Here is a 14,484-nt window from a genome sequence, read left to right as displayed (position 1 = left end):
TTGGACCCTGTTATAAGACCATGCTTCTCAATATGTTTTAACCTATGCCCTCTCTTGATAAACATAAACATCTCCTCTCTTCTCCAGAGATTCTGCTCCTTTGCATATGTCCAGAGGTCTTGTTCTCATCTCCATAATGGAATTACTGACAGGCAAAGAAGAGTTTATTTTCTATGTATTCTCATCAACCAAGAACTTTCCTTTAGCTTTTCTGATGTAGTTTTCATTACAAAACTAATGACTTTTTGTGGTATTTCAATTTTAAAATTTTATAATTTTAAATATGTATTTTCATATACCCACTGGGAGAGTGAGATGTCTTCCTGAAGAAAGGCTGTCTCTGCCCCCTCCCCACCCACAAGTGAGAAACACTGTTCTAAGACTAACGATTTCAATTTTCTGCTTTAGTAAATAGGATGGAGAGAACCTAATTGAATTCCCATTTAGTGCTTAGGTTCTAATAAGCCTCGGGCTCTGGATAATAAACTTAAATCTTCAATATTCAGCATTATAGCTACAGATTCAAAAAACAAGCAAACTTGACTGGAAGGTATACTGCAAAACCTGGAAATACCACAAGGTACCCCTCCCCTACTCTTTTAACAGGGTCTCAATTACTATGAACATTGTTCAGAATTTAAACTTGAAAACAGTTAGGTCAAGCTACACAAGGCAGTTTATCTTTGATGATCTTCTCCAACAGCATCTTGTATTATTTATGAAAAAATAAGCTAATCTCTTCTTTATTTATTGATTTAGAGCCCTCCTGTGTTTGCAGATATGTGACCATTTTCTCATATTGGTATTTGTTCAGGCTCTGGGTATTAAGTGCCATGATTCTTCTCATATGCTCCTGGCAATTAATCCCTCATGCAGTATGCATGCTTTCATGCCCTTTTACTGCATGACCTCCACTCTCACATCTCCCCAGGACAATATGATGCTAACACCTGGATTCTGCCTTTCCATTTCAAGAGATATTGAGTTCAGTAAACAAAACTAGAATGGGCTTGAAGTGTCTTATTTTTATTCCATCTTTTCATGGTCCCTTTGAGTTTCACCTTGAAATTAACTAGGAGAGAACAGAAAGGTGAAATTGCGCCATTTAATTTAGGTGGTACTCTGCTTTTCTTTCGTTGTTGTTGTCGTTGTTGCTGGCTCCAGAAATGCCACGGTTTCAGACAGATATTTAAACAGTAATTAAAGGATCACAGTTTGTTATATGATCCCTTGGCCATCCAGGGAGGCATCCCCCTCCTCAATTTCTTTGCTCAAAAGGGCATAAAAGTATGATTGTGGTATAAAGTTGCCAAAAGTGGAAATAGATTTTTTTAAGAAAAGATGTTCATGAGATGAAAAAGTATGGTTAACTTCTGTGGATAGTATAAGAAAGGTTATGGAAAGGAAATAATTGTAGGAGACAGAAGATTCTGCACCTCAGAAAAAGGCTTCATATCATTACAGAACAAGGTATGGCTGTGTAAAATCCCTATACCTGCAGAGAGATGAGAAAATACTTTACTATCATAAGCTACTCTTTCTCTACAGTAGCTGTAAGAGTGGTTTTCATTTACACTCACAAATCTGTCCATCTGCCAATCAGGAAACAAGCAGAGGAGGCAAAATAGGGAAGAAAACCTGTTCCAGTGGTTTGGCTTTCCCTTTGCAAGTACAAAGCTGAATTGGACAGAAGACTTTCTGTACTTCAATGACCAGTAAATTCACAACTTTATACAATATCAATGTTTCATAACAACCCCTCATAGACACAGGCAACACCTCAGGGATCAGTATAGCTAATTAACTTTTAATCTGCACACTTTTGTCTGGCTTTAGAGCTGGTTTGTATAATCAGTTTAAATTATAAATTCTGCTTTGTCAGTAAGTTATTTCCCATAATACTAGAAGCACAACAAATTCACTCTTTATATCTTCCTGAGGGGTTCATTTTGTTACAGAAATTTCTCACTTCACTGGGCCAGGCATTTTCATCCTGTATTACTGCAATGAACTTCTTTCTTAGGTAACTTCTTCAAGTTCTCCATTTTAAGTTCCTTGTTAAGCAAATTGCCAAAACTTAACAGACTGTTCTAGCTCAACTTATAATTAAGAGCTACCTAAATACCCATCCCCATCTCTCCATCTTAAACCTCCATTTTTCTTACTTATTAACACTGTGATCAACTTTTAATTAACCCACCAGAGACACCTAGAAATCTGGGGAAGAAGGTTTATTGTCATCTTACCCCAATGTCTAATGTTTGCTCTATGATGCCCTTTTGCTGTTTCTGAATAGATATTACAAGAGAAGTATCCATTTTTAATAGTTGACCAACGTAATAACATCAAGAAAGATGTGGGATTATAGAAAAACAAATTATACTACATCAAAATATAATACAGCTCTGACAAATTAGCCTTCAGAGTTTATGAAGAACTTTCTGGAGACCACACTGAAACAAGACTTCAGGAAAGTATAGGGTCATTTAACTGAAAATGTTAAAAACGATCCATTGTCTAATCCCTAGTAGACATAATTCCATGTTTTAAAAGAAATATAAACAGCAATGAAATAATAACACTCTACCGGACCCTAGAATGATGCCCAACTAGTCACAAAGAGAGGTGGCTAACTTTATAGGACGATTTTAGGTTCATAGAGTGCTTTCACTGAAATCATCTTGTGTGATTCTTACATTAGGCAGGTAAGAATTCCTTCATTTCAGTGACTAGGAAGCTGAGCTCAGCATTATTTCCACAAGATCACATAGCTACTTAATGAGAGAGTCACGCCTCTAATAATCAGTTTTCTCTTTTCCACCTTCTGGCAATTCTCTTTCCGCTGTCCCTCAAACTGATGTTTTTTGTCATTCATTCCACAAAAGCCAAGCATCTGACTCCACCAGTCACCAAGAAGAGTTTGAGGCAACCTCTCCCCAGGTTTCTGACCTTTGGCACCAAGAGGAAGGAGAATTATGCCAACTGCGTGATCACAACTCAAATATGAGAAAGGTTAGCTAAGCAGATATTTTCTACTGTTATCTTCTGTCTTAGTACATTACCCAATCTCAGGTAATGGAATACCTGAGATTGGCTAATTTACAATGAACATAAACATATTAGATCACTGTTCTGGAGGTTGTGAATGGTAAGAGCGAAGTACTGGCATTTCACAAAGGTCTTCCTGCTGCATCATCAAATGGCAGAAGGTGCTAAGGCAAGAGTGTAAAAGAATGAACCCATTCCCACAAGCTTTTTTCATAATGGCGTTAATCTATTCATGAGGGTTCCACCCAGATGACTTAAACATTTCCCAGTAAGCTCCAACTCCCAACATTATCAGATTGGGGATTAAGTTTCTAACACATGCATTCTTGGAAACACATTCAAATAATAGCACCTTCTTACATCTTGCTCTTGTAGGGTACTCAGCAAGAGTATACCTCCAACCAAGTTCAAAATCATACAATTTACAAAGTTTTTTTACACATCTTAATTTTTAAATATATGTTGTATATGCATTTTTTATACTTAGTAGTTTTAATGTTTATATGTTAATTATAATGTTAACTCTTTGTAGCCTTAATTTTTAGTGAAAACCTACGAAGTAATTTTAATTTTTTATTAGATGTAGAGTATAGAACAAAGGGCAGGGCTACAGAGAAACTGTCTGGCAGATCCAACCCCTCCCAGCATGGCCAGAAGGCACATTTGGGTCAGGGAAGACAGGGTCCGAATGCCATCCCCAGATCTTACCATGGCCACTCATCTAGAACTCAGAATTTAAAGTCTCAAGTTTAATGACGTAATCTCACAGACAAATTAAGTATCAAAAACATTATAGAAGTAACAGTTTTATGACCTTAAAAAGCTCGTAGAGATAGTATAAACCTGTTTGACCAATAGACCTAGGCAAAGAAACTGTCTAAATTAAAGTTTGAAGATGTTTTTATTTTATTAACAAGTTTAAAACTATTTGTCTTTACCAAAAATTATTAAAGCTACATTAACTTGAAAAGTATTTGGGCTAGTTATTTGATTTATGTGGATTCATTTATACATAAGTTAATTTGTTACCATGTTAGCATTACAGGCATATACACATATATACAGTACACATAAAGACACAGACACAAAGACTTCATCATTTTGATTTTAAAATTTTAGATACGTAATCACTAAAACTAACTAGCTTAAAAGGACAGTGGGAGTTAAACTGTGTCTTCATAAATGAAAAAGGCTAAGTTTATCTGTCTTACATGGCTGCAAAGAGAAGATTTCAGCTTTTTAAAGGAGCTTTGGTGGGCTAGTTAAGGAAGATCAAAAATGAATGTTAAAGTAACTTACAAATAATAGGAATCTACCATAGATTTTTATAAAGATACTAATTTTACTTAAATAATTAGCTTTTAATTTAGTCTGTTTTTTAACTGGACCATTGAGCTCAGGGCAGAGCCCAATAAGGAAAAGGGCCAACAAAACATTTGTAGTTCTTAGGGCCTAATAATTTAAATATATGAAAAGCAGGTATAGTTGAAAGGCAAAGTATCTAGAGTATCTAGATTTTTAAAAATTAAAGAGTCCACCTTTACACTGAATCTCAGGTTCCCAAAAAGAGGGAAATGCCATGAGAACAGGTCCTGCAATGCTTATGAAGCGTACTTTGTTATAAAGACATTTTTAAGTGTTTAAACTGCACCTTTTAAAATCTAAGCACATAAAGAAACAAGTAGTCCCATGCAGTAATAACCATTTACTGTAAACAATTGTTGCCAGCCACCTCTAAAACCATAGCTCTTTCCAGTGATTCACCAATTATCACACACAGAAAGTTAAAGTGTTTTCCACAGTATAAAGTAATACGTGGTACCTCCAAAAGCCAGAGATTACATAATGCAACGTGAAAGACAGAGTTTTAGGCCAGAGCAGAATCTGCCCATGACATTTTAGACTCCACAGCAAGACCGAAGACTGCAAAAAGGGAGTGAGTGGAACCCTTTTCTGTGTTCCTGTTTTTGTTTTGTTTTGTTTTGTTTTTTGGAGATAGGATCTCACTCTGTCACCCAGCCTTAAGTGCAATGATGTGATCACAGCTCACTACAGCCTCAACTTCTATTGTTATCTTCTGTCTTAGTCCATTTTGTGCTGCTATAACAGAATACCTGAGATTGGGTAATCTGCAAGTGATTTACAAGTGATTTTTCCACCTCAGCCTCCCAAGTAGCTGAGACTACAGGCATGCACCACCACATCCGGCTAATTTTTGTGTTTTTTTGTAGAGACAGTCTCACTATGCTGCCCAGGCTGCTCTTGACCTCGTGGACTCAAATAATCCTCCTGCCTCAGCCACCTAAGTCACTAGGATTGCAGGCATGAGCCACTGCAAAAGATCTGAAATATTAGATCCCTTCATGTAATATTTAAGACAGCAAAAAGGAAAAAAGAGTAGGAAGTAGAAGTAAATGGGAGAACAATTTTTAAGAAAGTAAATGAATAGAGGGATCAAGCACATAATTTTCAAAAGTTGAAGTAGTTTAGTTGACTGAAAAAAATTTTAATGGTAAAAAAGAAAAAAGCAGAAAGGTGTTTAAAATGTGTGTGTGTGTGTGTGTGTGTGTGTGTGTGTGTCTATATAGCTTGAATATCAGCTTTTAATTAAGCTAATTTCTGACCACAAACCTCTTTAAAAAAAATACCTTTAATTCTCTTACTATCAGATTTTAGTCAGGACAAACAAGATGTATTCCTGGCTTTTGAACGTTTTACCTAAGGTGGCCTCCCAAGTGAAACCAATACATCTTAACCAAGATTATGATTTAACCAAGGATGCACAAGTCATTGCCAAAGAAGTGTAAGGCAGTCCTCACAAGATATGGAACCATCTGAAGACAGCTTGAAGAAAGGAAAGTTTCACGGCTGCAAATGGGGTATGGCCCACATCTCTCTGGCCATATTTTCTAGGGTCTCATCTTCTTGGTTGACCATCTACACACAAAGGACCAAAAGCCTTTTATGTCCCCACAGAGAAGGAACAGGAAAGTAAAAACCGCCCATGGAAGAGAAAAGGATCAGTAAATTAATTATTATAGTGCCCCAAAAAGTGAAGTTACACAAATGTAAAACTTAAAAAGCCTAATTTCCGGACTGTGAATCAAACCCAGGCCACAATTGTGAATGCACAGAGATTTAACTAGTGAGTACAAGATGGAGCAGCCCACATCGTGAACCTCTATTGAAAGCAGGCAGCTTGAGTTTCTGAAAGATTTTAACTTTTAACTCTGTTTTAGGTCAGATTTTTGTTAATTTAGTCAAGAGAATTTCTAAAGCTAGCCATGACACTGTTATGTATAATCTTTTTTGATTTTTTAATAACTATAGATAAGGCAATTATTTAGAATAACAGCTTTTTAAATTATTTTCTTCTTAGTTTAGGAGTATTTTTTAATTTAAATGAGCTATCTTCTGGCCATTGATAATTAGAACTTATAATGGTGTGCTTCTTCCAACAGAGACTCAATCTATTAGCGTCCTCATGGAAAGGCCAGGATATAATTTTCTAGGTTTAGAAGTGTTTCCTGGAGAGGGTATAGAAGAAACAATCTCATAAGATCTTTCCCAAAAACAATTATCTCCAAGAATAGGCTAAGATAGCAAGACTCCTGTTGCCACAGACTTATCAGACAACAAGAGTATTGAGACAACAAAAACTTTTTACTGATGGGACTTCTTAGTAAAACTAACTCTCCCAAGAGCTTAATACATTCAGAACAAAAAGTGTGTTTATGTGTCTCAGATTCCCAGGCATTTACAGACTGGCCACCTGGCATGATCTAAAAATCACACCTCTTGAATTACTCACCATTAGGGATAAGAAATAAAAAATAAAAACCACACTTCCCAAATGACAGAGACCAAGAGAGAATGCTTCCACTTCGTCACAAGGCAAGTTCTCAAGGACATAAAAAACGACAAGGGGGAATCCCATTCAGTATTCCTCTTCATGACAAAACAACACAGAAACACAAAGACAGAGGAAAGGAGTATTTCTAGGGAGAAAGTTATCAAATAATATGAATATTCATACCAAAAGTAATAAAAAACACGTCAGTGTCACTACACCCAAGACCGGTTACGTAAATCCTTTTCTCCCATTATCTAAAACTTGTGGAGGAAAAATAGAGAGATTTTTACCATATGCTTGACCAGGTATCACAGAGAAAGAGGTCGGGACCCTGGTTGGTAAGAAAGTCTTATACCTATGTGGGCTAGTCAGATCCTGGGTTTCCTTCATTACAGCTTCTAAAAGAGTAGAGATCTGGTATCCTGCTCACAGCACCAAAACTGTGGGGGCTAAGAGAGAAATGTTCCCTTCACCATCTGAAGGTTTGCTGAGAAATCAGCTCACAAAAGGCAGATTGAGAGAAAAGGCAAATAAATGTATTAATGTGTATACAGGAGAAAAATCACAGAGTGATTACTCAATCCCCAAGGGGGAACAGAAGCTTATATATCATCTTAAGGTTACAGAAAGAATGTGGGCTTGGATCCTGAAAAAATGGGTTGTGGAATGGGGTAAAGTGAGGAATTCTCTTAAGGTTACAGAAAGAATGTGGGCTTGGATCCTGAAAAAATGGGTTGTGGAATGGGGTAAAGTGAGGAATTCTCTTAAGGTTACAGAAAGAATGTGGGCTTGGATCCTGAAAAAATGGGTTGTGGAATGGGGTAAAGTGAGGAATTCTCTTGAGGACCAACAAATAATTACTAGGGAAAACAAATGGATAAGGGAACAGAGATTAACTTGTAAATATTTTTCTTTGGAATTTGAATGATCCTGAGAGACAGGCACCATCTCCTGAAAGGGTCTGTTCAAATGTGGTTACATTCTTGGTCTTTCTGCGGCAGGCAATGACATAATAGGAAGGGGAGAAAAAAATGATTGTTCTCCTTGGTGGACCTGAACTTTAGGCAGGTAAAGAAACTTCAGAGAACAACTTTATTCTGTCCTTCGGGAGAGATGGTGGGGAGTCAGAGACCACCTTGAGACTTCTTCAGTTTCACGTGTCAAAGCACTATACTTCGGGGCATCAGTTTCTGAGCCCCTGCACCTGCCTATTACTTTCCCAAATCTGTTTCTTATACCAACTCTTCCTCCTCTGCCTTTCCATCAAATCCTGTTTTAGCTGTCTTCATTATTCATTGCCTACTTGTTATGGCCTAGTTATGAAGCTTTAACCAAACCAAGAGTGTGTCTACATAGTGAGATGGCTACAAAAACTTGCACCTATTTTAGCAGCAATCAAAGCCAGAGCCTACTATGGCCCTGGAGGGAAATTTAAATCTCCAACATCCATCATGTGCTAACAACTTTCTCCATTTGACACGTAGTACCGAAAAGAATACAAAAATATCTCAGGCCTTGCCTAATTTGTCATCTATGTCTTACTTAACACAGAGTCTCTAAGAAACCCAAAATTACATGTATTATTTTTTGCCTCTTAAGCCACTGCTCCCTCTGTTGTCTAAATATGAAAAACCTGGATAAAACACAGTCTCTATCCTCATGAGACTTACATAGGAAACTGAGCCCATGCAAAAGACAAATTTTGTGTTGTTAACTTCAAATAGTGAAGGTCAGAAAATATGATTACATATAGAATTTATTCAAGCACAAAGCTTGAAAATTGCCATCCAGGAAACATTGACTCCAAATGAATGAGGTCAGCATTCCCAAGTGGAGAAGTTAAAATTACACTTACGTGGGCATAGACAAAGAAATTGTAACAGGATTATGTTTTCTACATGAGACCACAATATTTTACAGCAATTTGACTAGTTACAGATTACCACATTCCGAGAAAGATTACTTTATTACTCCATGAAGAGGGGTAGTAATTTAAGGAGGCTCTACCTCTGGTGCCATTTTGTCTTCCTAATTATTCAAAGAAAAAAAAGGCAGAAGTTGCAGCTTCATGCCACAAAACTCAGGCTGTATAGCTGCATTCCTCCCAAGGCTCAGAATAATTTAATGTTTGTTCCAAATGCTTCAAGTTTGAATTATTCAATAAAGTTAGAATTATTTAATTTTGCAGTGTGAGTTATCACAGTGTACGCAGTTCTGAATATCAGGTGCTATATTTACAAAGTACTAAATAACTATTTATTAAATAAATTGTAATTATAGAGAATCAAGTATAGTGAGATTAAAAATCTCCAATCTTTCCTCTCTTCTCTCACACCACAACAATCAACATAGATGACTTCTGTGACTAAATGTGTACAAGTCCCCATACACAAAGCAAGCAAGAAATTCCTCTGCAAACACAAGCTAGGTGTCTTCCAATTCCATCCCAACACTACCTACCTGGCGATGGTCTCAGATCCCAAAGGCTGAGAACTTAGTAACATAAGACCAACCCCCCTCCCTATCAGTTGTTAAGTCCAGGCTGCTGGAACTTCTGACATATTAGCTTCAAGTTGGGGTTCCCACTGTTACCAGAAATGGGTCCCAACACAGACACCAAGAGGTGGTTCTTGGATCATACACAAGAAAGAATTCAAGGCAAATCTATAAAGTGTGAGCAAGTTTACTAAGAAAGTAAAGGAATAAAATAATGGCTACTCCATAGGCAGAACATGAGCAGCATAGGCTGTTCAAGTAAGTATACTTACAGTTATTTCTTGATTATATGCTAAACAAGGGGTGGATTATTCTTGAGTTTTCCAGGAAAGGGTTGGGCAATTCCTAGAATTCCCCTTCTTAAGACCTTATAGGGTTCCTCCCCATATTAGTCAGGATTCTCTAGAGGGACAGAACTAGAGTTTATTAGGAGTATTGACTCACATGATCACAAGGTGAAGTTCCACAATAGGCCATCTGCAATAAGAGGAGCAAGGAAGCCAGTCCAAGTCCCAAAACCTCAAAACCAGGGAATCCAACAGTGCAGCCTTTAGTCTATGGCTTAAGGCCCAAGCACCCCTGGCAAACCACTGGTGTAAGTCCAAGAGTCGAAAAGCTGAAAAACTTGTCATATGATGTTTGAGACAGGAAACATCCAGCATGGGAGAAAATGAAGGCCAGACGACTCAGCAAGTCTGCTTTTTCCATCTTCTTTTGCCTGCTTTATTCTAGCCATACTGGCAGCTGATTAGATGGTGCCCGCCTAGATTGTAGGCCAGTCTGCCTCTCCCAGTCCACTGACTCAAATTTTAATCTCCTTTGGCAACGATGGCATCTGGAGTGGCCTCTGTGAAGACACCACCTAAGCCAGGGAGGCATGGCCAAGCCTACATGCTCTGCTGGCCTGCAGGAGCCAGGAAGAGCCAACAGTCTTGTCCCTAGTTAAAGGGGCAGGAGCCCTGTGCTCCCAGGTGCAGCTGAAGCCACCCAGCAGTGGCGCTGGACTCTGCCATCTCTACACTCTCAGAGGCCCAGGAAGCCCCTGCCCCTGCAGGCTTGAAAGTGCCTGCTCCTTCTCCCTGGCCTCTTCCCACCCTCAGAGCCTGCTCTGGGATGAAGCAAAGTTGTCGCACTGTCACAACATGGGCTGCGTGTGTGTGAGTTCAGGGTGGCACTGACATGCCAGCCCCCTGACAACTCAGCCCCCTCTGGACTTTGGGTGCCCAAGAGCACAGGAAGGAGGCTGTGAGGGGCTGAGGGTGGTTGAGCACAGGCCTACAGGTGCCTCTCAGCACAGACTGGGCACCATGGACAGCATGTTGATGGCAGGAGGCAGACAGGGGTGGATGCCTGGTGAAATTCCACCGTGAAACCAAGGACCATCTGAAGCCTGGGATCCAGGCTGTCAGTTCAGGGTGTAGTTCGTGGCTGGGAGTAAGAACTTATGGTGCTTTTTTCAGGCCCGCCCATGGCCATCCATGTACCAATCAGCACACACCTCCTCCCTTCTGAGACCATAAAAACCCCAGACTCAGCCAGACTCAAGCAGACACTGGGACTACCAGCTGTGGGAAGGAGCTACCCACTTCAGGTCTCCTTGACTCCTCAGGAAAACCTGCCTGTGGAAAGAGCTACCCAATGCGGGTCTCTTCTCTACTGAGAGCTGGACACTCATTGGGATGACCTGCCTGCACAAAGGAGCTACCCACTGTAGGTCTCCTCAGAGCTTTTCTGTCACTCAATGAAGCTCACCTGCATCTTGCTCACCCCTCCAGTTGTCTGAGTACCACATTCTTCCTGGACACAGGACAATAAGTTGGAACCTACCAAATGATGGGACTGAAAGAGCTGTAACATAAAGAGAGCTGAAACATGCCCCCACCCCCAACCACTCACTATGTTGCAGGCAATGAGAAGGAAAGAAGAGCTGCAGCCTTTCAGAGAATCCAGACCCAGAGGCTCCCTGAGCGAGGGCTGTGACACCCTCCTTTGGGGCTCTGTGGTTCCTGGTGTTTCCAAGTTTCTGGGAGCCACTGAATTCCCCTTGTCCAGACACAGGTACCCACAGTGGAAGCCGCATGTGGTACATCTGGTCCAGCTGTAACCTTGCACAGAGCCAGCACCTGTGCTGGTGCCTGGAGCTGCCCACTCCACCACAGCAGGTAGTATGCCTGGCTGTGCACAGTGGCCAGACCCCATGCTTGCTCATACACACACCCCTCACTGCTCCATGCCTGGCTTACCCTTGGAAGGTGTGGGATCTGGGCCAGTAGCACAAGCTGAGCGCAGCCTGCCTGAACAAATGGGCGGAACAAGCCTAGCAGGCACCAGCAATACCCAGGCAGAAGGTGCTGCTGTACACAGAGGTTTTCAGCTGGTGAAGAGACACCCCAAGGATCTTGTGACAGCAACACCCTCACAGACACACACTCAGTAACAATACTTTCCATCCTTCAATCCAGTCAAGTTGACACTCAATATTAACTATCACACTCCCCCTTTTAGACCACAAAGTGTAACTTCCTGACATTGCCATAGCATTTGTGAACTGTCATGGTACTGGTGGGAGGTCTTTTAGCATGGGAATGTATTATAACTAGCATATAATAAGCAGTGAGGACAACCAAAGGTCACTTTCATAGCCATCTTTGTTTTGGTGGGTTTTAGCTGCTGCTTAACTACAACCCATTTTGTCAGCAAGGTCTTTATGACCTGTATTTTGTGCTGACCTCCTATCTCATCCTGTGACTTAGAATGCCTAATGTCCTGCAAATGCAGCCCAGTAGGTCTCAGCCTTATTTTGCCAGCCCCTATTCAAGATGGAGTTGCTCTGGTTTGAACATCTCTGACACCACAAGCCCCTCTCCTGGTATGATTAATTTGCTAAAGCTCACAGAACTCAAGGAAACATATTTACTGGTTTATTATTAAGATATCACAAAGGAGGTGGATGAAGATACACATACGGTGAGGTATGATGGAAGGGTTTTGAAGTTTACATGCCCTCCCAAGGTACACTACCCTCCAAAATCCTCTAAGTGTTCAGCTGTCAGGAAGCACTCCAAACCCAGGCCCTTTGGGTTTTTTGTGAAAGATTTATTATGTAGGTGAGAGTGATTAAATTGTTGGTCATTGGTGGTCAATTCAACCTTCAAACTCTCTCCACTCAATGGATGTGGGGGGAGATGGGGCTAAAAGTCCCAACCCTCTAATCATGCCTTGATTTTTCAGGTAACCAGCCCCCATCCTGAACCTACCTATGGGCTATCAGCCATCAGTCTAGCATTAGCATACAAAAATACATCACTTTGGAGTTTCTAAGGATTTAAGAGTTGTATGCCAGGAAATAGGTTCAAAAACCAAACATATATTTTACAGCAGCACAGAGAGATATTCTGTTAAAATGCTTATAATCACTGCTTCAAGAGAAACATAAGCTAACTGGCTAAGAGAGATGATGATAAGATCTGAAGTGTAGCTGGATAACCTAAAATGTCTCAAATGTCCCTCATTATTGAGTTGCCTCACTTATACTAAGAGCCATCTGCACAAATAAGACAAACAGTTATGAAACTCAGTGAATTTGTTAGTCATTTGTAAAACAGTTTTAAACACACATTTTTGTATGTCTTTCAGAAAGCCAGTTTTCCTTTAGTTTCAGCTACTTTCTTTTCATTTTTGATCTTTGAATTCACCTAATACATATAAATGTGTTTTCATTTAATAAAACAATATTTGGTTTTAAAAAATTATGAGCTAGTTTTCTGGTGGGATTTCAAGGCCAGCCACTATCTTCAATGTTTTATATTTTTCCTTCACTCATTATCAAAATTACTACATAACTTGTAGCTTTATGCCATTCAAATGCTGAATGACTTTATGTGCTAGTTCTATTACTCCTAAATGACTGATGGAGAAGCTGAGGCTTATGGCACCTAAGTGGCCTCACAGATAACCTTGAGAGGGCAGTCATTGCAAACGGTGACTGGATGTACAGTTGGAGAGCAGGGCAGAGAAATATTTCAGGTTTACTGAACAGCTTTTTAAGCATAAGCAAAAGTACAGAACTGAGAGCAGACCCAGCTGGCCCAGGAACTAGAAATTCTCTTTTGTCACCTAGAACTATCTAGCTTCAAGGCTCAGTCTTGCAGCTTTGTCTTTCAATAACAGATTTAGAATTACTTTACCTCTGGTGAAATATAATAGGCATCTGCTTTATAAAATTTTATAAAGGAAATATGAAAATACTCCTTTATAATACTTTTTTCCACTAACTGTAAGCCAGGTTTTTAAATTTCCCATTATACGCAGAATCAATACATACTGAGTTTGTATCTTGTCTCTTGCTACAAATGAGCTAGGTATAATGGTTTTGCTGAGACTTATCTCCAAAGTGGAGATAATAATATCCACTCCATACAGCTGTCAGGAGGACTAAAAGAGGTAATTTAATGTGTTATAGGAACCAAGGGAAAACTTCCCCTTCACTGGCAGAAGAAGGTTTGCTGAAAATCAACTGACAAAAGGTAGATTAACGGGAGGAAAGACATAGAAACTTACTAGTGTGTATAGGAAGACCTAGAGAGTAATTAGCCCACTCTTCAATAGGATTTAGAAGCTTATGTACCATCTTGAGTTTTGTTACCTGAGAAACAAAAATAGATGCCCCTTTGTCAACTAAGACAGACCCTAAGGTTAAGAAAACAAAAGTTACCTACAGATCCAGGGTTCAGGGCAGCTAGCATGGCAACTCCTTAAATTTCTAGGGCTACACAAAAAACTACATTCCTGCTAAATTCTCTAACAATAGGAGCTATCAGACAACACATCGGACCTGATTTACAACCCAGACCACTACAGGTATGATTGAACTGAGGGACAGCCCTACAAACATTCTTTATTGATAAGCAATTGCAAACCTTAAGCCAGTTTGGGTCAGCTTACAGAGGGTGTGCACAAACTGTCTTTGTGTTCTATAATTCACCTTTTGATGTAAATAAGCAAATTCAATCTAATTTTAATGCTAAACTATCCCCTCTCCCGACCTCAAAGTGAACATGTGATGTATGTTACATATGTTTACCCAT

The 14,484-nt window shown here is 39.6% G+C and overlaps 1 long non-coding RNA gene across 3 annotated transcripts in view, besides 1 other annotated feature; it reads right to left on the bottom strand.

Annotated features, from left to right (window-relative positions):
• LOC107984361 (uncharacterized) overlaps positions 1 to 14,484 on the bottom strand; it is a 552,293-nt gene that overhangs the window by 372,541 nt on the left and 165,268 nt on the right. The gene's annotated exons all lie outside the window — the stretch shown is intronic.
• Positions 10,521 to 11,021: an enhancer, noted in NCBI's record as "H3K27ac hESC enhancer chr11:87239526-87240026 (GRCh37/hg19 assembly coordinates)". NCBI's record gives its function as "activates a minimal SCP1, AML or CMV promoter by ChIP-STARR-seq in naive H9 embryonic stem cells {active_cell/tissue: H9 hESC(naive)}" and the evidence as "EXISTENCE:reporter gene assay evidence [ECO:0000049][PMID:30033119]".

This window comes from Homo sapiens, chromosome 11 (assembly GCF_000001405.40).
Source record: "Homo sapiens chromosome 11, GRCh38.p14 Primary Assembly".
Classification (NCBI taxonomy): domain Eukaryota; kingdom Metazoa; phylum Chordata; class Mammalia; order Primates; family Hominidae; genus Homo; species Homo sapiens.
Note: the sequence above shows the minus strand (reverse complement) of the source record. Positions and strands in the feature narration are given on the sequence as shown.